The 26045-nt window shown below is 35.0% G+C and overlaps 1 long non-coding RNA gene across 6 annotated transcripts in view; it reads right to left on the bottom strand.

Annotated features, from left to right (window-relative positions):
• LOC124902439 (uncharacterized) overlaps positions 1-26045 on the bottom strand; it is an 820351-nt gene that overhangs the window by 14772 nt on the left and 779534 nt on the right. Inside the window, exon 1 of one of the 6 annotated variants that reach the window (XR_007062168.1) lies at positions 5067-5148. The exons of the other annotated variants lie outside the window; for them this stretch is intronic. This is a non-coding gene — a long non-coding RNA (uncharacterized LOC124902439). Of the gene's footprint in view, positions 1-5066; positions 5149-26045 lie in introns of those variants that run through there. 6 annotated transcript variants of the gene reach the window in all.

Raw genomic sequence — 26045 nt, 5'->3', positions numbered from 1 at the left:
GATTCACAGCTGAATTCTATCAGATATTCAAAGAAGTATTGGTACCAATTATATTGACACTATTCCAAAAGATCATAAGAAGGGGGAATCCTTCCTAAATCATTCTATGAACCCAGTATCACCCTAATACCAAAACCAGAAAAGAACATAACAAAAAAAGAAAACTATAGACCAATATCCCTGATGAACATAGATGTAAAAATCCTCAAGAAAATACTAGCTGACCAAATCCAACAGCACATCAAAAAAAAAAAAAAAAAAAAAAAAATTCCACACGATCAAGCGGGTTTCATTCCAGGGATTCAGGGATCATTTAACGTATGTAAGTCAATAAATGTGATAAACTCCATAAACAATTAAAAACAAAAATCACATGATCATCTCAATAGATGCAGAAAAAGCATTTTACAAAATCCAGTATCCTTTTATGATTAAAACCCTCAGCAAAATCAGATTAAAGAGATATACCTTAAGGTAATAAAAGCCATCTATGACAAACCCATAATACTGAATGGGGAAAAGTGGAAAGCATTCCCCCTGAGAACAGGAACAAGACAAGAATGCCCACTTTCACTACTTCTATTTAAGACAGTACTGGAATTCCTAGCCAAAGCAATCAGACAAGACAAGGAAATAAAGGGCATCCAAATCTGTAACGAGGAAGTCAACCTGTTGCTATTTGTTGATGGTATGACAGTATACCTAGAAAACCCTAAAGACTTATCTAAAAAGCTCCTAAAATTGGTAAATGAATTCAGAAAAGTTTCTGGATACAAAATTAAGGTACCCAAATCAGTAGCTCTGCTATACACCAACAGTGACCAAGCTGAGAATCAGAAAAACTCAACCCCTTTCACAATAGCTGCAAATAAAATAAAATAAAATACTTAGGAATATACCTAACCAAGGACATGAAAGACCTCTGCAAGGAAAACTACAAAACACTGCTGAAATAAATCATAGATGACACAAACAAATGGAAACACATCCCATGCTCATGAATGGGTAGAATCAATGTTGCAAAAATGACCATACTGCAAAAGCAACCTAAAAATTCAATATAATTCCTACCAAAATACTACCATCATTCTTCACAGAACTAGAAAAAATAATCCTAAAATTCATATGGAACCAAAAAAGAGCCCACATAGCCAAAGCAAGACTAAGCAAAAAGGACAAATCTGGAAGTATCACATTACCCAACTTCAAACTATGCCCTAAGCCATAGTTACCAAAACAGCATGGTACTGATATAAAAATAGGCACATAGACCAATGAAACAGAACAGAGGACCCAGAAATAAACCCAAATACTTACAGCCAACTGCTCTTCGACAAAGCAAACAAAAACATAAAGTGGTGAAAGGACACTCTATTCAACAAACGGTGCTGGGATAATTGGCTAGCCACATGTAGAAGAATGAAACTGGATCCTCCTCTTTCACCCCATAAAAAATCAACTCAAGATGGATCAAAGACTTAAATATAAGACTTGAAACTATAAAGATTCTAGGAGATAATACTGGAAAACCATTCTAGACACTGGCTTAGGCAAAGACTTCGTGATTAAGAGCCCAAAAGCAAACACAACAGAAACAAAGATAAATAGATGGGACTTAATTAAACTAAAAAGCTTCTGCATGGCAAAAGAAATAATCAGCAGAATTAATGGACAACCCATAGAGCGGGAGAAAATCTTCACAGTTTTTTCATCTGACAAAGGAATCTGCAAAGAACTCAAACAAATCAGCAAGAAAAAAATAAACAATTCCATCCAAAAGCGGGCTAAGGACATGAATAGACAATCCTCAAAAGAAGATATACAAATGGCCAACAAGCATATGGCAAAATGCTCAACCTCACTAATTATCAGGGAAATGCAAATCAAAACCACAATGCGATACCATCTCACTCCTGCAAGAATGGGCATAATAAAAAAAATCAGAAAATAATAGATGTTGGCGTGAATGCAGTGAAAAGGTAACACTTTTACACTGTTGGTGGAAATGTAAACTAGTACAGCCATATGGAAAACAGTGCAAAGATTCCTTAAAGAACTAAGAGTAGATCTGCTGTTTTATGCAGCAATCCCACTACTAGGTATCTACCCAGAGGAAAAGAAGTAATTCTACAAAAAAATATACTTGCACATGCATGTTTATAGCAGCACAATTTGCAACTACAAAAATATGGAACCAGCTCAAATGCTCATCAATCAGCAAATGGACAAAGAAAATTTGGTACATATACACGTACATGTATATATGTATGTATGCGTATACATATACGCATACATACATACACCATGGAATACACCATACAAAGGAACAAAATAATGGCATTCGCAGCAACCTGGATGGAATTGTAGAATATTATTCTCAGTGAAGTAGTTCAGGAATGGAAAACCAAACATTGTATGTTCTTACTCATATGTGGGAGCTAAGCTATGAGGACGCAAAGGCATAACAATAATACTTTCGATTTTGGGGACTTGGGGGAAATGGTGGGGTGTGGTGAAGGATAAAAGACAACACATTAATAAGTACTTTAGTAGTGATTTCTGAGATTTTGGTGCACCCATCACCGCAGCAGTGTACCGTGTACCCATTCATGTAACCAAACATCACCTGTTCCCCAAAAGCCTATGGAAATTTAAAGCAAATAAATAAATAAAAAGTGAAAAATGCATAAGGTAGCAATCACACTGGATGACTTAATCATTAAATATATCTCTACTACAATTGTTAAATTTCTAGGAAAGTAAGGAGTTCAACAAAAGTTCAAAGAGGAAAATTTGAGATATTAGTGAAATTATTCAGGCTTCTTGGAGAGGCTCAACACATAAAATTATTTGTTGTGTTAAGTGTTACAGTACACTAATAATAATAGCTCTGTGATTGGCAATCTTTTGTATTTATCCTACTGCATATGTGGCAATACCTAACACAGTAGGTTTGCAATGCAGAGAGGTTAAATAATCTAAATATTTCAAAAGAAATGGTGATGAGAATAGAAACTTTTTCATAACAGCAATAGTTGAAGGATTTAGATAATCTCTCTATCTTAAAGTCTGGTGTATTATATAATATAACCTAATCACAGGAGTAAAATCCATCATATTCTCTGTCCCAAGCAATATTCAGTGTCTTTATACTATCAGGATAAGTTGGGGGCCACCTGAGACCTCTGCCATCACACAGTCTCCTCATTATACAGTAGAAAAATAAGAGTGTTTATTACCATGTAATCTTATGGTAAGAACTAATGTTTTCTGCAGTGCCTAATAGTTAATATTCAATAAAAGTTATTACTTGTAAACATATCAATAATGGCAAATTAATCCATCAACATTTAGGAAATTTTCTCTTTCTGAAAGAATCAATTTATACAAACATTAACCCAAAAAGCATGAATTAAGTCTTTGTATGCTTATAGTGTGTACTTTCAATTCTTTTTTTTTTTTTTTTTTTTGAGACAGAGTCTCGTTCTTTTCGCCCAGGCTGGAGTACAGTGGCACGATCTCTGCTCTCTGCAACCTCCGCCTCCTGGGTTCAACCAATTCTCCTGCCTCAGCCTCCTGAGTAGCTGGGATTACAGGTGACCACCACCACGCCTGGCTAACTTTGGTACTTTTAGTAGAGACGGGGTTTCACCATGTTAGCCAGGCTGGTCTCGAACTCCTGACCTCAGGTGATCCGCCCGCCTTGGCCTCCCAAAGTCCTGGAATTACGGGCATCTGTTTTAAAGAATCTAGCTAAAGTCCTTAGCGTAAGAGCTCACAAAAGTGTATATATGAGAGAGCAGTTTATTTACTCTTTGAATTACAGGCTACTAAGCTGTTGAGAGGAGGTGCTAAATCTATGTTGACAGGTTCCTTAGCTACCTTTTCTGTATTGCCAAGTATTCTTACTCAAAATATGACAGCATATCACCTGGTTTCTCATATGTGAAGGGGTTTACTTTTGATCATTGTTTTTCCAAGCATAAAAATTGATTTTCAATAATTGAGGCTCAATCTATGCTCCATTGTAGCCATAACTTTGGGTACCCATTACTAGCGTAACCAGGTAAAGATGTTAATGGCTAAAAACAACTATCCTCATTTTGTTTCCATTATAGTGTGGAGAAAAAGCCTCAGGTTTTTTGAAATCAATTCAGTAGTGAACAGAATGTTAGTTTATGTACATTAATTAACTCTAAATGTTTGAAAAGAAAGATGAAGCCCCAAGAATGTATAATGACTTATTGAAATGCACCTAAGAAATTACAGGTTGATGAACTCTTCGTTATAGTATTGTTACTTATATTATAAAACCAAGGCCTTTTCAGTGATGAGGTATGAAACGGACAATTTCTCTGGAATTCATTAATTTCGTTACCATAGAGGAATTCATTCATGGATTAGGTCTTTGCTATTTGTGTGCTTTTACTAATTTTTTCAGGTTGTTTAATTGGTAGAGTGAAAAAAGCATTAAACCTTAAAGTTACTTTCTGCACTATTTAACTGGATAAACTTGGCACTTAAAATTTGTATTCCATAATTTCATCTGTAAAATGAGGCAGTTGCTTTAGACTAAGTTTCCCGAAATGCCATTACAACCTATATTCCCAGGAAATGCAACAGAGAAAGACCATTATTTCTGATCACTTTCTTCCTTTTTTTCTCTTTCCAAATTACATTTTCTTTTTCATCCTTTTGCAGAACATGTACTCCCAAGTGTATTAGGACTATCAAAAAATGAAAAATTCATGCCTTCATATTTCTTATAGAAAGTTGAATAAACCTGGTGTATCATGATGCAAATAAGAAACTTTGTAAAGAAAGTATAGCAATTTCATTCCATTTTGGAATATAGAAATGCAGAAATAATGAATTGCTTCATAGATCAGTAAAGACAAAATAAAATCTAAAAAGTAGGGCAACATTATATTACCTATATTTATTTATATGTATATACTTTTCATTAATTCATTTGTTTTATTAAGACAAATCTAACTCACATAACTGAAAAGTAATCCATTGCCAGAATTAATTACTTATATATTAATCTATGAACTATTACTTACGCTAGACCTTGTGTTACAAGCTGCTAATTAAGTATTAGGAAAAGCAAGTATCTTCTCCATCTACATGGGATATACTCTTCCTGGAAGAACAGACAAAAATTAATCAGATAACAAATGTAGAGTGTAAAAACTGTAATAAGACTCAGAAGACAGAATACTATAAACACAGCATATTGGGATCTGACTTAGTTTGGAAGAATTGGTGAAGGTTAATTGTGATAGGAGCATTGGACCTGGTATATGAAATATGCATGAATAGTATAGAACTAGGTGTATGTGTGTATGTGTGTGTTTGGGGGGATGAGAGAAGAATGAGGTCAGAATGAAAACTGCAGGATTCCAGGCCATATGGGACATTGATAGACCACTGGCAGGGTGAAGTATAAGGATTCTAACAAACAATGCTGACTTGGACTGAGAATGGACAATGAAGGTTTGGTATAACATGCAAGAACAGTGTTCAGAAGAGATTCACCAGTTTCCTTATAAGAAAATGCAATGATTCTGTATTGTATTTTTTATCTCAATGGATATGGGAATCTATTGAAAAGTCAGAAGCAAAGAATGCCATGCTCTAATATTTCCTTTGAAGAGAATACTTTATAGTCAGGAGGAAGCAGTCAAGGCAAGATATGTTGGAAGGTATTGAAGAAATCCAGGTAAAGAATAATAGTAGGCAATAGTCCGGAGAAAAACTGACAAAACATTAAGGTGGTTTTGGTAAAAGGACAAGGAAAGGATTAAAAAGAGAGAGCTGGGCGTGGGGGCTCATGGCTGTTGTAAATCCTCTCACTTTGAGAGGCTGAGGCAGGAGGATTGCTTGAGCCCAGAGTCCAAGGCTGCACTGAGCTATGATCTCGCCACTTCACTTCAACCTGCGTGACAAAGCAGGACCCCATCTCTTTAAAAAAATGAATAAAATAAAATAAAAAAGAGGACAGATTTTGCTAGAAAGTTGAAAAATAAAAGTAAAAAAATTACATGAAATTAATCAGGTAATCCTATCAACTTGTAAAATAATGTTTCACAGAATATCTTCAGTGCTGAATATAATAAGCCCTGATTTTTGTGTGTGTGTAAATGTGAAGTTTTCTTCTTTTTTAGAGGCAGAATGTCAGTCTGTCACCCAGGCTGGAGTGCAGTTGTGCAAACATGGCTCACTGAAGCCTTAACCTCCAGGGCTCAAGTGATCCTCCCGCCACAGCCTCCTGAGTAGCTGGGACTACCGGTGTGCACGCCAAGCTCTGATAATTTTTTTTGTAGAGACAGGGTCTCACCAAGTTGCCCAGGCTGGTCTTGAACTCCCAGGCTCTAATTATCCTTCTGCCTAAGCCTCCCAAAGTGCTGGGATTACAGTGTGAGCCACTGTGCCTGGTATGATTTACCAACATTTATCAATGGATTTACTCTGTTACCAATTTCTATATCATGCAGCTCTTTATAGAGGCCATTAATATTAAAGCTGATTGAATAAACATCACACGTGTATATACTTCAGTGATACAGTAATTTGATTAGGAGACTGATTCAGTGAAACTGCAAATGTTTTCTCTGAAATAGTCTGCATGTGCACAGGAGATTTTTTTCATACTCCCTAAGCTTCTGAAGATTAGCCTTGTAAATATTCCGATTGAATCTTCAGCACCAGGCCATTATGACTTCCTGCCTGCTTCTGAAGCTTTTTCTCTGCTAGCCTGGTCAGATAAAAGCTTTATTCTTCTTTTTCTCTTTCTTTGGATTTTTTTTTTTTTTTTTTTTGGCTTCTTAGACGCTGTAAACATCTGGGACATGCATCTCACTTGGAAGCAAGAGAAACTCTGTTTCAATCAGGTTCCTGGGGTGCAGGATTTAGATCAAAGCACAGTGGTGGCTGACCAGTTGGGTCCAAAATAACAAAATATATTTCTATATTAATTAGGAGGCAGTGATGCAGTAAGAGAAAGTTTCTCCTTAAAGTTGTAGGAAGTAACATTTAAAAATTTACATGAAACAGTAGAAATGCATTACACTGAAATTCTAGTTAATTTATACCTTAACCTATTAGTATGACAGATGAATACTTTTAATTTTACTCACAATTCCCCCATCTATTTTTCCAGTTACGTAACTAAATAAAAGCAAATAGAAGACAAACTTTATCATTAGCACTCTATCGATGTACGACAATACTGCTTAAGTGTTGATCTTAAGCTAAGAGATATTTCTCTCAAATAATTAGTGTGAAAATGATCACTGATGCCATCTATAATTTAAGTCATACTAAGTGTATTTGTCAGTTAATCAATATATATCATATGAATTCCAACTCTGAAGGTAACACCAAGAAAATACTAGATGGATAATAATTTCAGGGTTATCAGGGTTAATAAATACAAGCATACAATGGAAACAGAATTATTAACTCAAAGATCAATTCTCCTCATAAAAAGCTAACTAAATTAAAATAAAATCCCATAAATTCATTTACTGTTTCTGTAACAGCAAAAAATCGATTTGCATTCCAGCCTTGCCACAATGGTTATTTCCCAAACTCTACAACAAAATCTTACCTAAGTTTGACCTGAACTGCATCAAAGTTGTACCTTGAGAAATCTTATTTTCACTTTTTCATTTTCTCTTCTCAGCTCATAGGCAAACATATATTTGCGACAAAGACCTATTAATATTTTTTGTAACTTTGCTAAGAAGCATCCTGTCTTTCTTTACACTCCTATCCCATTATCTATTATTATTATTATTTTTTAACAGACAGGGTCTCACTCTGTCATCGAGGCTGGAGTGCGGTGGTGCAATCACAACTCACTACAGCCTTGAACTCCTGGACTCAAGTGATCCTCCTGCCTCAGCCTCCTGAGCCACCATGACTAGATGTGCATGCCACAACACTCAGCTAAGTTTTAAATTATTTTTTGTAGAGACAGGGTCTTATTTTGTAGCCCTGGTTGGTATCAAACTCCTGGCTTCAGGTGATCTTTCTACCTCAGCCTCCCAAAGTGTTGGGATTACAGGCATGAGCCATTGCACCCAGACTAGGACATTATCTTGTTTACACTGTTCTAAACTTCATTCACTTTATTATTACAGAAGCCTATATTTTTCACTAGTTCATTGTCTTCTTCCAACTGTCTGAAATCTAATCATTGGAATAAACTTTTAAAATGTTGTTTGATCACATCAACTCTTACACTAACAAAAAGAAGTTGTAGATAGAAGAAATAAGCTCTAATGTTTGATAGAAGACTGAGGTGACTATACTTAGCAGAAATATTTACTATATTTCAAAGTAACTAGAAGAAAGGACTTAAAATGATACCAAAACATGGGAATGGTAAATACTCAGCTGGGCATGGTGGCTCACGCCTGTAATCCCAGCACTTTGGGAAGCCAAGGTGGGAGAATCGCTTGAGCTCAGGAGTTCAAGACCAGCCTGGGCAACATGGCAAAACCCTGTCTTTACAAAAAATTAGCCAGGCGAGATGATGCATGTCCGTAGTCCCAGCTACCTGGGAGGCTGAAGTGGGAGAATCAACTGAGCCTAGGAAGTTGAGGCTGCAGTTAGCTGTGATCATGCCATTGCACTCTAGTCTGGGTGACACAGTAAGATTCTGTCTCAAAAAAAAAAAAAAAAAAAAAACTGGTAAAAATACTCAGGTTGTGGATACAGCAGATACCCTGAATTGATCATCACACATTCTATTCATGTAGCAAACACTCACCTGTACTCCCATATATATGTAAAATATTATATATTAATAAAAGAAAATAAATGGAAAAAGAAAACAAATCTTAAACAGAAAAGAATACACTTAAAAAGAAAAATATTTCCAAACTTCACATCCTGATACTTCAGGTTGCTAATCTTAAATAAATTTTAGTAAGCATACGAATTACACACAGATATTTTTAAAAATCCAGAATCAGAAATTCTCATTAAATTGGTCTGGTGAGAGTCACCAGAATCTACACTTTAGCAAATATTTTAAGCAACTCTAGCACAACTCGCCCTAGGATATACTTTAAGAAACTTAATCCTAAGTCTTACTCACTGGTAAGTTTTGTGAACAATTTGGTCTAGCTAACAAAAATGTTTTTTTTTAATTTTTCTGGTTCTGTTACTATGCTAACCCAATTGCCAAAATTTTACTATTTATGTTTTGTGTGTGTGTGTGTGATGGAGTCTCGCTCTGTCGCCCAGGCTGGAGTGCAGTAGCGCAATCTCGGCTCACTGCAAACTCTGCCTCCCAGGTTCACACCGTTCTCCTGCCTCAGCCTCCCAAGTAGCTGGGACTACAGGCACCTGCCACCATGCCCAGCTAATTTTTTGTATTTTTAGTAAAGATGGAGTTTCACCATGTTAGCCAGGATGGTCTCAATCTCCTGACCTGTGATCCACCTGCCTCAGCCTCCCAAAGTGCTGGGATTACAGGCATGAGCCACCGCGCCTGGCCTGATTTATGTTTTATAATCCACTGCAAATTTTAAATATCTACTAACTTTCATATAAACTCTAAAGCCGTCCCCAATTAGTGCCAGACATGTCATCTTTTTTCCCTGTGCAATTGTAGTCCTAGTTTCATATGACATTTATTATATACTGCTTGCATAGTTTTCCATAACAACATTAAAAAGTGCCATAAATTTAGTAGCTCAAAACAACACCCACTTATAAATCACAGTTCTATAGGTCAGAATTCCACAACAGTGTTGTTGGCTTCTCTGCTCAGACTGTAATCAAGGTGTCATCTGGAGCTTAGGATCCATTTTCAAGCTCATTTATGTTATTGGTAAAATTTACTCCCTTGCATTTTTAGGGCTAAAGTTTCTACTTTGTTGCTGGCTATTAATCAGGAACGCTCTCAGATCTTCAAGGATGTACCCAGGTCCTTGTTACCATAGCCCCCTTGATATCAGGTAAGAGAACTCCCATGTGGATCCATCTCACTCTTCTAATCACTCTGATTCATCGTCTTTTACCAGCTGGAGGAAACAATCTGCTTTTAAAAGGTTCCTGTGATTTAAGTCAGCCTCACTTGGGTAATCTCCCCATGTCAATGTCAGCTCTGCTACGTAATATAACCTAATCATAGGAGTAAAATTCCTTAAATTCACAATTGACAACTAACACCAAAGTGTTAGACAATTTTGAAACATTTTTAGCAATCTTGTTTTAATCTCTTCTAAAATATATGTTTCTAGAGAACAAGGACAATGCATTACACGTTTTTGTGTATCATGAATCACCTGTGTAATGCATCAAATACAATAGCATTCAATAAATAATTGTTGAATGAATAGGCCCTTCATGTGATAACCTCTTTTCTGATCATTAAATTTAAATGAACTAATGGAATTGGGCCTAGCAGAAGTAAATGTATAGTCAGTCATTCACTCTTGAAGAGATTGAAACAGTTGAGAACCTTACATACTGAGTTCCCTATTTTATTCATGTTAGTGAATAGTAATGCCATCTATCAAAATCCCTTGCTATCCGAAGACATAGCAAATGAAACCACCTAAAAACAAAACAGAGAAAAAATTTTAAAATAAACAACTCTTTAATGTACTGTGGGACAAAATTTTCAAGTGACATAATATTTGACCAACTGAAGAGCAAAAAAGAGAGAGACAAATAATCTTTCAAGTAATAATGAGCTAAATTTTTTCAAATTTGATGAAAACTATGAACCCATATACCCAAGCAGGTCAATTAACCTCAAGTATAAGTAATATGAAGAAAATCACGCAAGACACACCATAATGGAATTTCTTGCAATGAGTCAAAAAATATTAAAATGAGAAAAAAATTAAATACCTCTAGAGAACTAGATAACCCAGAAAGAAATAGAATTTGTAAGTGAAAATTCTCCCACTATGAAAACTTTAGAAGAATAACTTCCCTGACAAATTCTACCAAATATTTAAGGGAGAAACAACACCAATTCTACACAATAGAGTACAGAATATTGAAATAAAATAAATACTCCCTACTAATGTTATGTGACCACAATTAACACAATATCAAAACTAGACAAAGACACTGAGAAAAAATAAAACAACAGATCATACACCTCCTGAATAAACGTAAAATTTCTCAATGAAATGCTAACAAGTGGAAATCAAAAGCATCTAAATATATTACTTTATGACAAAACAGGGTTTTTCCAGCAATAAAGGTTGGTTAAAAACCTGAAGATCAATCAATGGAGACTTTTGGTTCCAAAATGGCAGCATAGATCCAAGCTGGTTTCACCTCTCCCCAGCATGAGAAAACAGAAAACAAATATACAGTGCTGGGATTATCACCAGCAATATCCCAAAACTCAAATATGAGGAAGTCAGTTTCCAGAGCTACAGAGAAATTAAAAGCTCTGAGGAGATGGTAAGAGAATCAGATTTACATATCCATGATGCCCCTTCCTCCAATCAGGAAGCATCATAAGTGCCTAAAGGCAAATATATCCCTGACAATGGTCAGAAACAAAGAGGAGAGGTGGGACTGCTATCCCCAGCCATGGAAACTCTGCCCTGTACCTTGGCCAAAGGAGATGCCAAATTAGAGTGGCCGTTCAGCAGCAATATGCTATAAGAGGTATGTGCCACAGATCCCCTGGGCACAAATCCCTAGAAAGCCTTTCCACACGGCTGGGATATCCCATTTGTGAACTTCCCACCACTCTGATTGGTTCCTAGAGTGGAGGCAAACCTTGGCTTAAGGTGCTGTATAATACCAAAAGAAGACAGTGGCCTAGTGGGAAAAAATGTAAGAAATTCAAAAGTTAAATTACAAATAACTTCTAAGAAAACATATCCAATAAAAAAAAAGTCAAACATAGACAATTGGCATAAATAATGAATTCTTTAATGCAAAGGCATAGATGTACATCCACAAGAAATGGCAACAAACATGGAACTATGACCTCTTACAATGAACAAAACAAGAAACCAGTGACTGACCCTAATGAGATGGCAATACATGAGGACTCTAACCAAGAATTCAAAATAGCGGTTGTAAATGAAACTCAGAGATCTCCAAGGTAACAGAAAAGCAATCTAGAAGCTTTATCAGAGAAATTTAACAAAACAATTGAAATTTAAAAAAAAATTCTTGCAACTTAGAAATACATTTGCTAAACTGAAAAATTCATTGGAGGTTCTCAATAGCAAAATTGATGAAGAGATGAAAGAATTAGTGTGCTTGCAGACAGGCTATTTAAAATTACACAGTCAGTGGAGAAAAAAAGAATGAAAAAAATAGATTGCCTGTAAGACATACAAAATTAATGAAGATCAAAGCAGAAATACATGACAATAAAAAAATACAGAAAATCAATGAAATGAAAAGGTTTTTTGTAAAGAGAAACAAAATTGACAAGCCTTTAGATGGACTAAGAAACTGAAAGGAGAAGACTCAAATAGATTCAGACACAAAAAAGGGGACATAACTGAGACCACAGAAATACAAAGGGTCATTAGAGACTATTATGAACAACTATATACCAACAAATTTGAATACCTACAAGACATGGATAAATTCTTGGACACATACAACCTACCAAGATTAAGCCATGAAGAAATGGAAAACCTCAGTGAAGCAATGATGAGTATCAAGATTGAAGTTGTAAAAAGTATTCCACCAAAGAAAATCCCAGACCTGATTTCTTCAGTGCTAAATTGTGTTAAACATTTAAAGAAGAACTAATAATACCAAGTCTACTCTTCAAAATAATTGAAGAGACGTAATACTGTTAAACTAATTCCTTGAGGTCAGCATTACCCTTATACCAAAACCAGATAAGGGCAAGGCCAATATCATTGATAAACATAGATACAAAAATCCTCAGCAAATCTGGCCAACTGAATTCAACAACTGAATTAAAAAGATTACTCACCGTGATCAAGTGGTTTCTTCCCAGAAATGCAAGGATATTCACCATATGCAAATTAATAAATGTAACATATCACATTAACATAATTAAGAACAAAAAACATATGATCATTTCAATAGTCACTGAGAATGTGTTTGGTAAAATTCAATGTTCCTTTGTGGAAACAACTCTCAACAAACTGGGTATATAAGAAACATACTTCGAAATAGTAAAGGCCAGGCCAGGTGCAGTGGCTCTTACCTGCAATTATAACACTTTGGGAGGCCGAAGTGGGAGAATTGCTTGAGCTTATGAGTTTGACACCAGCCTGAGCAACATACTGAAGCCTCATCTTTACAAAAACTTTGTGGTGGCAAACATCTGTTGTCCCAGCTACTCAGGAGGCTGAGACAGGAGGATCACTTAAGCCTGGAAGGTCAAGGCTGCAGTGAGCCATGATCACACCATTGCACTCCAGCCAGGGTGGCAGACCAAGACCCTATCTCAAAATAATAATAATAATAACAATAAAGGCCATAAATAACAAATCCATAGCCAACATCATACTGAATGGGGGACAAACTGAAAGTCTTTCTTCCAAGATCCTCAACAAGACAAAGATGCCCAACTCTTCACCACTTTTATTCAGCAAAATACTGGAAGTACTGGACAGAGAAATTACATAAGGAAAAGAAATAAAGGCCATCTAAATTAGAAAAGAAGATATCTGATCAACTTTGTATACAGACAACATGATCTTACATTTTGAAAAACTTAAAGTTTCCACCAAAAAAAGTTAGAACTGATAAATGGATGTAGCAATGTTGCAGGATACAAAGTCAACATACAAAAATCAGTCACACTTACATATATCAACAGCAAAAAGTCTAAAAAAAAACTAACCCCATTTACAATAGCTAGAAAAAATATAAACTTCCTATGAATCAATGTATTCAAAGATGTAAAAGATTTATACCAGAAAAACTAGAAAACTTCAATTTCTCTTATCAGAGAAATTGAAAGGGACAAAAAAATCAGAAATATATTCCATGCTCATGGATTAAAATAATTAATATTGTATGGAATATGACAATAATATTTAAAGAAATTTACAGATTCAATGCAATCCTTGCAAAATACCATGACATTCTTCACAGAAGTAGAAAAACAACTTTAAAATTTATAAAGAAATGCTAAAGGCCCCAAATAGCCAGAACAATTCTGAGCAAAACAAAGCTAGAAGTATCGGACTACCTGACTTCAACATATATCACAATGCTATAGCAACCAAATCAGCATGGTACTGGCATAAAAATAGACACATAGATCAATGGAACATAATTGAGGATCCAGACATAAATCCAAGCATTTACAGCCAAGTCATTTTTGATAAAGTTACCAAGAACACACAATGAGGACAGTCACTTTATAAATGGTGCTTGAAAAACTGCATAATCACCTGCAGAAAAATGAAACCAGACCCTTGTCTCTAACTATATGCAAAAATTAACTCAAAGTGGATTTAAGTTCTAAACAAATGACTCAAAACTATAAAACTACTAGAAGAAAATGTTGCAAAAATACTTCAGGACACTGATCTGAGCAAAATTATTTTGCATAAGACCTCAAGAGCACAGGCAATCAATGCAAAAATAGACAAATGGGATCACATTGAACTAAAAAGTTTCTGCAAAGGAAAAGAAACAATCAACAAAGTGAAGAGACAACCTGTAAAATGGGAGAAAATAGTTACAAACTATCCATTTGACATGGGATTAATAACCACCAGATATAAGGAGCTCAAATGACTCAATAGCAAAACAAACAAAAAATCTGATTTAACAAAGGGCAAAATACATGAATAGACATTTCTCAAAAGAAGACATGCAAATTGCTAACAGATAAAAATGCTCAACATCACTTATTATCAGAGAAATGCAAATCAAACCCACAATCAAACATTATCTCAATCCAGTTAGAATTTCTTTTATCAAAAACACAAGGAATAATGGATGCTGGCTTAAATATGGAGAAAGGGAAAGCCTAGTATATGATTGGTGGGAATGTTAGTACAGCCACTAGGGAAAACAGTATGATGGTTCCTCAATAAACTAAAAATAGAACTACCATGTGATCCAGCTATTCCACTACTGGGTATGTATCCAAAAAAAGAAAAAAAGGAAATCCATATATCGAAGAGATAGCTGCACTTTCATGTTTATTGTAGCATCATTCACAATAGACAAAATGGAATCAAACTAAGTATCCATCAGTGGATTAATGGATAAAAGAAAATGTGGTATATATACACAATGAAATATTATTCAGCCATAAAAGGAATGAAATCCTCTCATTTGCAGCTAGATGGATGGAAGTGAAGGTCATTATGCTAAGTGCAACAAATACCACATGTTCTCACTTGTATCTGGAGGCTAAAAAACCATATGTCATGAAGATACAGAGTAATTGGTGGTTATAGGAGGCTAGCATGGGAAGTGGGGAGGTAGGTACAGAGAGGCTTAATGGCTTCAAATATACATATAAAATAGATAAGACTGGGTGTTCATTAGATTAGTTGAATGACCACAGTTAACATTAATTGATTGTACATTTCAAAATAGCTAGAAGAGAATAATTCGAATGTCCATAACATAAGGAAATGGTGAATATTTAAGGTGATATATTTCCCAGTCACCCTAATTTTATTATTTATATGAATGCATCAAATTATCACATAGACCATGAAAATATGTACAGCTATTATGTATCAATTTTTAAAAATCAATTAATTAATTAATTAAAATATCAAAAGTATAAATGAACATCAATAAAAGAAAAGCATTCAATAAAATAATCTGTAATATCAATAGACTAAAGAAGAAAAATAATTTAATCATCTCATAGATGAAGAAAAAATGTGACCAATATTTAATCTTATTTCAAGATAAAAAGTTTGAACAAACTGGAGTAAAGGAAATGTTTCTGACCTGGGAAAAGTACATTATGACAAAATTTATAGCTGATATGGTTTGGCTGTGTCCCCACCCAAATCTCATCTTGAATTCCCTCCCATGTGTTGCAGGAGGGATCTGGTGGGAGATAATTGAATCACAGGGGCAAGTCTTTCCCCTGCTGTTCTTGTGATAGTGAATAAGTCTCATGAGATCTGATGGTTTTAAAAAGAGACAGTCCCCTGCACCAGCTCTTTCATTCTTTGCCTGTCACCATCCACATAAGATGCGACTTGCTCCTCCTTACCTTCCACCATGATTGTGTGACTTCCCCAGCCACGTGAACTGTACTTCAATTAAACCTCTTTCTTTTATAAATTGCTCAATCTCAGGTATGTCTTTAGCAGCAGCATGAAAATGGACTAATACAATAGCTAACGTCCCAATGGGAATGACTGAAGTCTTCCCCTATAGTTAAGTACCAGGTAAGAGTATCCACCCCTACCACTTCTATTCAACATGGCAAAGAATCTCCTAAACGAAGCCATAACCCAAGAAAAAGCAATAAAGTCACTGAGATTCAAAGAAGTAAAAACCAAATTTATTGTCATACAACATTATCATGCTTAGAAAACTCTTAAGAATCTACAAAAAAAAGCTATACAAAATATTCAGTGAGTTTTGCAAGCTGGGAAGACGTAAGATAAAAATATGAAAATCAACTATATGTGTGTATACTGACAATCAACAATTGGAAATAAAATGTGGAAAATATTACCATTTACAGTAGGGCCACAATTAAATAAAAATAATGTAAACAAATAAAGAAATAATATATAAAGTTAAATCTGATACAATTTGCAAGACTTGTATACTGAAAATTAGGGAATATTTCCAAGAAAAATTAAAGGAGACTTAAAGAAAATGAGTGCGATAATGTATTCATGGATCATAATGCTCAATGTTGCTTAGATGTAGTTCTCCAAAAAATGATTACAATGAAATGCCATTCAACATTCTCATAGGGTTTTTTGTTTATTTGTTTTTTTCTCAGAATTAAGAAGCTAATTCTAAAATTCATATGGAAATGCCAAGATATCTGAATAGCCAAAACAGCCTTTCAAGAAAACCAAACCAAAAAAACAAAGTTGGAAGACTTAAATCACTCAATTTCAAGATTTTATTAAGCTACAGTAATCAACTCAGTGTGGTTTGGTCTAAAAGTAGAGAAGTAAATAAATGGAACAGAATAGAGAGCCCCATGATAGATCCATGCATATATGGTCAAATAATCTTCGATATAGGTATGAAGGCAACCGAAGGGTGAAAGGGTTGTCTTTTCAACATATGGTAGCGGAAGAATTAAATATCCTTCTTAAAATATAAATTTTAATGCACATCTCATGCCAGACACAAAAGTTAATTAAAAATCAATCATCAATCTAAATGTAGTGCCCCAAACTATAAAATTTCTAAAAGAAAATAAGAAAATCATTGTGACGTTAGGATAAGTCAAGATGTCTTGTATATGACAAGAAAAGTACAATCCATAAAGAAAAAAACAGAAGCATTGAACTTCATCAAAACTAAGAACTTCTGCTCTTTTTTTTAAAATTTTTTTATTTTTATTTTTTTATTATTATACTTTAAGTTTTAGGGTACATGTGCACATTGTGCAGGTTAGTTACATATGTATACATGTGCCATGCTGGTGCGCTGCACCCACTAACTCGTCATCTAGCATTAGGTATATCTCCCAATGCTATCCCTCCCCCTTCCCCCCACCCCACCACAGTCCCCAGAGTGTGATATTCCCCTTCCTGTGTCCATGTGATCTCATCGTTCAATTCCCACCTATGAGTGAGAATATGCGGTGTTTGGTTTTTTGTTCTTGCGATAGTTTACTGAGAATGATGATTTCCAATTTCATCCATGTCCCTACAAAGGACATGAACTCATCATTTTTTATGGCTGAATAGTATTCCATGGTGTATATGTGCCACATTTTCTTAATCCAGTCTATCATTGTTGGACATTTGGGTTGGTTCCAAGTCTTTGCTATACACTCTTAAGAAAATAAAAAAATAAGGCATACATCTGAAGAAAATGTTTTCAAATCACTTACCTGCTAAATTACTGTTTTTCAGAATATATGACTCTCAAAACCTAGCAATAAGAAATGAACACCACAGCCGAGGCAGGCGGATCACGAGGTCAGGAGATCGAGATCATCATGGCTAACACGGTGAAACCCCGTCTCTACTAAAAAATACAAAAAATTAGCCAGGCATGGTGGCAGGAGCCTGTAGTCCCAGCTACTCGGGAGGCTGAGGCAGGAGAATGGCGTGAACCCAGGAGGCAGAGCTTGCAGTGAGCCAAGATCACGCCACTGCACTCCAGCCTGGGCGACAGAGCAAGACTCCGTCCCAAAAAAAAAAAAAAAAAAAGAAATGAACAGTACAATAATAAAATGTACAAAAGATAAATTACCAAGTAAAATAAAAAGGTAGCAAATAAGCATGTGAAAATATGTTCAACATCATTAGTCTTCTGAGAAATGCAAATTGAAACCACAATGAGATATAACTACCTTAACTAACCATTAGATTAACTAAAATTAAAAAGACCAACAATACAACATGTTGTTGGGGATGTGAAGGAACAGGGACTCTCATACACTGACGGTAGAAATGTAATGGTACAACCAATTTGGAAAATAATTTAGAACTTTCCTAAAAAGGTAAACATGCACACACCAAATGACTCAGACATTCCAGTCCTATATATACACCCAATAAAATGACAGTATGTCTAGAAAAAAATATTCAGAGCAGATTTATTGTGGTAACCAAAAGCTGGAAAAAAACAGAATGTCTAGCAGCAGCTTAATGGATAAAATGAATACTAATCACAATTAAAATTAAAATACTATTTATATATGGAATAACATGAATAAATCTTAAAACAATTTTATTGAGTGAGAGGCCAGATTCCATGAAATAAAAAGAGTACATATTGTGTAATTTCATGTACATAAATTTTTACAAAATATAAGCTAATCTATAGTGATGCATAAAAACAGTAGATCAGTAGTTGTTTGGACACAGGGATAGTGGAGAAAGAAAAGGCACAAGGTAGGAAATACCAAGGGGTACAAGGAAACTGTTGGGAGTAACAGAATGTTCATTGTCTTGGTGGTGGTAGTGATGGTGATGGTTGTGGTACTGTATACATATATCAAAGCTTACCAAATTACATACTTTAAAGATGTTTGTTTTAGTGTATGTCACATACATTTCACTCATATGTCAGTAAAACTGTTTTTAAAAATGAGGGCTAAGATTGATAACCAAGAGACACTCCTCCAGAGTACATGGAGGTTCCACCAAGCACAAGCACCCCTCAGAAGCAAGGGGTTACAGGAGAGGAGAGTTCAAGAATATTCATTAAAGGCATTCTGAGCACTCAATTTTGGGAGGCCCACAGCAGGTAAGAGTGAAACTCCTTGAAAAAATTCAGGCTTTCAACTACAAAGACTGAGAGGTTAGGGGATGTGAGCCAAGACAAAGGCATTCGAGGCTTTTACAAGCTACAGGGCCACTACCTGCTCAATTTAGACGAAGTCACAACAGTGCTAAAGAGAAGTCTGAGGCATGGAACATAGGGAACAAGATGGGAGAGCAAAGAGAACATCTCAGCAAATAAAAAACCTGGATGCTGAGTTACAATGCATGGAGAGATACCCCACAGTTCCAAAAATTGGCAGTTTTTCTGTGAAGCACAAGCAGATCTCTGAAATCACAGCAGTGCTTAGAACCTAAAGCCTGTATCAGAAAGTCCTGATCCCATTTTCAAAACATTTGAAGCCAGTGTTGAAATAAATCAAACTTAAACTTCAAAAAACCAGCAAACTACAGATCATCTTTTTTTTTTTGCTCCCAGTTTAGCAGTCTGACTTTCTAAAGGTAAAAATAATGTATCTTAGTCTCCATTGTCATCTATTTTTTTGTTGTACCAAATACAGATTTGAGATTTGTAGTACAAATTCAAATAATCTAACATTTTAATTAAAATACCTAAATTAAAAAGAGGGTGTGGCAGAAATATTTGAAGAGCTAATTCCCAACTTAAAAACACTGATAATCCTCAAATCCAAGAATCTTATTTAACCTCAATCAGAGCAAATAAAAAGAAAACTACACTTTACTGGAAAGGCTGACATGGGAGAATCACTTGAGGCCAGGAGTTTGAGGATGCAGTGGCTATGATCACAGGTGTGAAAAGCCACTGCACTCCAGCCTGGGTAACATAGCGACCCCACACGCCCCACCAAAAACAGCAACAAACAAAAGCACACCTAAGCACATTATAATGAAAACACCAAAAACCAAAGATAAAATGTAAACATTAAAAGCACCCAGAGGACAATGGCACACTATCCACAAGGGCAAAGTATTATGCATGATGACTTTCTTAACTAAAATAATGGAGGCAAGAAGGCAAGGCAATACAAATAAATCTTCAAAATGCTAGAGAAAAGAAAGTTTCAATCTAAAATGTTACATCCATTGAATATATCTTTCAAAAATTAAAGCAACATAAAGACAACCTTAGAATGAAAAAAGTTGAGAGAATGCATCTTCATATACCTGTACTAAAGAAATACTAAAACAAAACGAAACAAAACAAAAAAATCTTAGTCTGAAGAAAAAAATAGCACTAGGTGGGTCTCCAATTCTGTAAGAAGGAATAGAGCAAGAGAGTAAATAAAATCATGCTACCCTAAGTTTCTAAAATGTCTATTCAGTAGTATAATAATATTTAATGCTCTAACTTAAAGACAGAAGCAACTACTGAAAAAATAACACAAAGAAGTTTAGTTAAAATATCAATATAGAATATAAAGTAATATATTCATAATATTTAATTTACCGAAGAAAATAACAGAATACCTGAACAGATGAACAAAACAAATACGATAAATATGCAATCAATACCAAGTTGGGAGACTTGAACCCAATACATTAATTATTATACTGAATGTAAATGGAGCAAACTTTTCAATTAAAATCTAAGAGTAGCCAACTGTGTGTTTAAAGTGTGCTTGAAGTATTAGAAAGCATGTTTTAAAATAAGGACACTTTGAATTTAGACATTGATGCGTTAAAAAATTAAGGCAGAAAAACCTATGCAATACAAAGATTAAGTAGAAGAAAACTGGCTTAGCTACATTAATGTAAGACAAAATAGACTTAAAGACATAGACATGGAAAGATGTGTCATATAATAACACTAGAATTAATCTATCAAGAACAAATGGCAAGACTAAATGTCTATGCCCTAACAGAAATTCAAAATATACAAGAATTGACTGAATTAAAAGAAGTAGAAAACTCTACATTTATAGTTAGAGATTATAGCACATATCTTTCAGTAATGGATAGGAGAAATTGATTTTTTAAAATCGGTACAAATAAAGAAGAGTTAGCCCTAAAAGACCTAATTGTCTTTGCAGATCACTACACACCACTAACTGCATAATGCATACTTCTTTCAAGTGCTCATAAATATTTTCCGAAGTAAAGTATATATTCAGCTATAAAAGGTATCAATAATTATCAAAAAATTGAAATCATAGAGAGTATATTCTCTGATCACAACTGTATTAAATTAGATATCAATAACAATAAGATATGTAGACATTCCAACTATTTGGAAAATAAAGCACAGCCTTCCAAATAACTCATGGATAAAAGAAGAATTCATGTGAGAAATTGGAAAACATATTAATTGAAGAATTATAAAATGCAACAAAATGTGGAGAACACAGTGAACATATTTCTTAAAGGAACATATATAGCTTGAAAATACTTATAGTTCAGATACTTGGAAACCACAAAAGAGGTAAAAATTTACCATCTAAACTCCCACCCTAAGAAACTAGAGAAAAGCAAATTAAAACCAAAGTCAGTAGGAGAAAGGAAGTAATAAAGATAGAAGTGAATTATTTCATTACTCAAAGAAATAGATAAATAATGGAGAAAAATCAATGGAAGTAATAGTAGTGTTTTTGATAAACCTAATAGAATTCATAGACCTCTAGAGAGATTTATCATATTACAAAAAAGACAGAAGAAATAAATAACTGATAGCAAATAAAATACTGTAACTCACCACAAGCTTTATGGACTATGAGGAAAATAAAGTATTCTGACCTAAAGATTTATTTGAACAAATACAAAAACACTAATCAAAAATTTTTACAATCTATACATTTGACTTCACTTTAAAAACTCTTTTTCTCAAGAAACCACATTAAAACAATATGTAAAAACTACATAGTGGGAAAAATATTCTCTTTACATATGTCTGAAAAAGCAGTTGTATACTGAATATATTAATAATTCTTGCAATTCAACAGCAAAAATACTAACAAACAAATAAATATGGGCACAATAGCTTCAAACTGGAAATAACTCAAATGTCCATCAATAGGAGAATGTATCAAAAGATGTTGTGGCAGATGCATGCCACATGATAATACAGATAAATTTCATAGACATTTAAACAAAAAAAGCCAGACACTAGACAATATATACCATATAATTAACTTACATATATATTTAAAACAAAAAGAAATACAGACTGATAGAAATCAGAAAGGGGTTGCTCTCGGTGGTGGTGAAGTCCAATGTAAGAATGTTTCAATTTTTGATTAGTGTTTTTTGTGTTTTGTGTGTGAAAAGTATGTATGACCCCAACTATGTAACGTTCTGGAAAAGGCAACAACTATGGAAAGAGTAAAAAGATTAGTGATTGCCAGCTGATTGGGGGTGAGAGAATGCACAGGTGGAGCACAGAGAGTTTTTAGGGCAGTAAACCTACTCTAAATAATATCATGGTATGTATTATAATACATATATTATATATTATTAATATGTTATATTATATATTACGTATTTATCATACATATATATATAAAACGATACATCTATCCAAATCCATAGAATACACACCATCAACAATGAACCCTAAGGTAAACTATGGACTTTGGATAATAATGATGAGTCAGTGTAGGTTCATCGATTGTAGCAAATGTACTATTCTGGTGAGGGATGTAACGAATAGCAAAGACTGGACATGTATGGGGGCACAGAGTACAGGAGAAATCTCCGTACCTTCTCTCTGTTTTATCTTACATATCTATGAAAAATATTGCAGGTTACTTCTTTCCTTTGTATGTGATTAATTCACTAAATGTGCCTGTCATGGGAAACATCCCAAAATAATTTATGTAGCCAGCAGCTCATGAAAAATGGAACTGTGATCTTATGATGAAGAGTCCACTCACTTTCTTCTTAAGAGAACAAGACCAGCATATAGCATGAGTTTCTTCTAACAATAGGAAGTCAGTAACCACCAATTAATAACAAAATAACAGAAGACTGCAGAATAGAATATGCTATTCATAATTCCTGGAGATTCCCAACTATCTACCCCCCTGTTGGGGCCCCTGAAATTATTCTTATTGTGATAATATGGTCATAACTGCAGGTCGTGACCCATAATAAACCAAAGAAATAAACACCAGAACACTCCTGAAAATGCATCTCCTTGCCTACCTGAATTTATGCTCTGTTGCAAGAGCTTGCATAGCTCCGATAGTGTTCAGCATAACTGATTAAATAGGACCTCCGGTGAACTCCTTAATTGGTTAAGATGGAGAGAGCAGGGGATGGATATTTCATAGCATTATATAGAAACACTATGGGCTTGAATTGATTAAATAGCAACACCCTTCTACACTACACAAAAAGTTTCATGGTGCTGCGTAATGTAGATTTGTTTTCAGCTTAAACTCCAAAAAGAAACTGAATCTTCCCACTAGGGAGAAGCAAGAATATTATCAATGTTTTCACTCATAGGTGGGAATTGAACAGTGAAAACACATGGACACAGGAAGGGGAACATCACACTCAGGGGACTGTTGTGGGGTGGGGGGAGGGGGGAGGGATAGCATTAGGAGATATACCTAATGCTAAATGACGAGTTAATGGGTGCAGCACACCAACATGGCACATGTATACATATGTAACAAACCTGCACATTGTGCACGTGTACCCTAAAACTTAAAGTATAATAAAATTTTTTTAAAAAAAGAATATTATCAATGATCCTGCTATTACCTCATCAAAGAATGTTGACTGAGCAAAATCAGGGCTGAAGCAGAAGAGACCATTCACAGAGCCCTCACTTTAGAGACACAAAGTTATGACACTATGTGCCTATCAAAGAGCACACAATGTGGGTTTAGCATCATGTTTTGCCAACTGCATGTATCCTAAAGTTAAAGGATCTTTCCAGGTAATGTATCTACATTCAGATGTGAAGATTCAGATGCCTAAAGTCAACATAATCAAGTAATAATTACCATTTGTAGTATATAAAACTTATCAAATGAGGCTAATATCTGTTTGTGTAGGTAACGTATTAAATACAACATGATTTCTGTTTCTGACAATTTAGATATTGTGGGGGAAGAAATGACAAGGAAAAGAGTGCACGTGGTTTTACATTTCAATCCTGGACTGGAAATATTTCACTTGCTCCTCCAGATCCTTTGCCCCTTCTCCACTGTTTTGTCCCCTGAACAAACGTCAGCCTCTATGAACTGCATCAACTGACTCACCTGCCACCTGGGTTCCATTGGATCAAATCATAGTGCTAGCAGAAGATCATAGTGCAGGAGGGGAGCAAAGTTCTGTTTATTCCCTGGCTCCCTTCCTCTCAGGTCACTGGGGTCTTCATAGAGCTTTCTCTCCAGGTTCCACTAACTCTTCCTTCCTCTTTTGACTTCAAGCCTGTAAGTGATATTGACCCTCTTTGCCATCAGATGCTGCACCATTCCTGGTTGTCATCTTCCAGTGTAAATAATACCTTTATTTGCCTTCAGTTACCTAGTTTGAGTGTGTCATCTCCTTCTCGCCTGTATCCTGACTGCTACAGACACGAAAGAGCAGCTGTTCTTTTTCTCAAAACATTTTCAAATACTTTTCCTTTAGTAGAAGCATAGGCTCAATTCAGAAAGAGCTGCCAAAGAACATTAAGAGTCAAGATACAGGCGGAAGAAGCGGAGTCATACAAATAGATTTTGTTTAAATCAGGAATTCAGAATGACATTAAGAAGTTGGAGAGAGCTGTAAATATTACAGATAAGTAACTACTGGTGGGCATTTTGTCAATTTGATTAGAGCAAAATCTCCATAGCATTATTGTTGATAAAGACATGGTATTTAAAATAAATTTGAACAAACATGTATACAAAAAATATTAATTTCCTGCAAATTGTACCATAGGAGCCCTGATGTAAAAAAAAAAAAAAAACCCAGCAAAAAATAAGAGGAGCCCAAGGCAAACAGGAAATAAGCAAAGCTTGAATAATGTCAAAAAATCCAGACTGACTCAAGATATTTTCTTAGCTCTTTTAAGCTAAAATATTCCACCATTCCATCATGAGAAGGTCCATTAGATTATTGTATCAAAACCTGGTGGTAAATTTTTATAATGTTTTGCATATGTGTAGTAGATCACTTTTATATAATTTGTTGAGCCATTCATTTAATTTGAAACAACTGCCTTAACTTTTTTTTCTCTCTACTATGGCCCTGTCCCTTGACCTCCTCAGTGGGCTTCTGACCAAGCTGTGCCAATCAGAATGCTTCATCTGGGAACCTGGAATTAAGGTAAGAGACAGAATTACAGTTACACTATGTGTACAGAACATAGTGTGCAAATTTGTAAACCATGGGTAATCATCTATCCTCTCTGTTGTGGGTCCTCCCACCAGCAGACCAGCGATCCAGAGAAAGCTGGTCTGCTGAGGAAGGAGAATTAAGCTGATGTAGATGGGCAGAACACAAGTTGAGAGTAAGAGAGAGAGTGTCTTAAATTCCTGAAAGCTGCCTGCTTCCTCCTAGTAGTCTCTGGTGAGGACCAGGTACATTCCTGCCAAATTTTGGTTCTGCAAGATGATATATTCATATAACAAACAATGCTACATAATTTATTTTTTTCCTTCAGCTTAGCTTATATTGACTTCTGTCACTTGTAATCATAGTCACAATACAATATTAACTTTCCAGAGTGTGGATCCAATCTTTTTA

This window comes from Homo sapiens, chromosome 10, assembly GCF_000001405.40.
Source record: "Homo sapiens chromosome 10, GRCh38.p14 Primary Assembly".
NCBI classification, from domain to species: Eukaryota; Metazoa; Chordata; class Mammalia; order Primates; family Hominidae; genus Homo; species Homo sapiens.
Note: the sequence above shows the minus strand (reverse complement) of the source record. Positions and strands in the feature narration are given on the sequence as shown.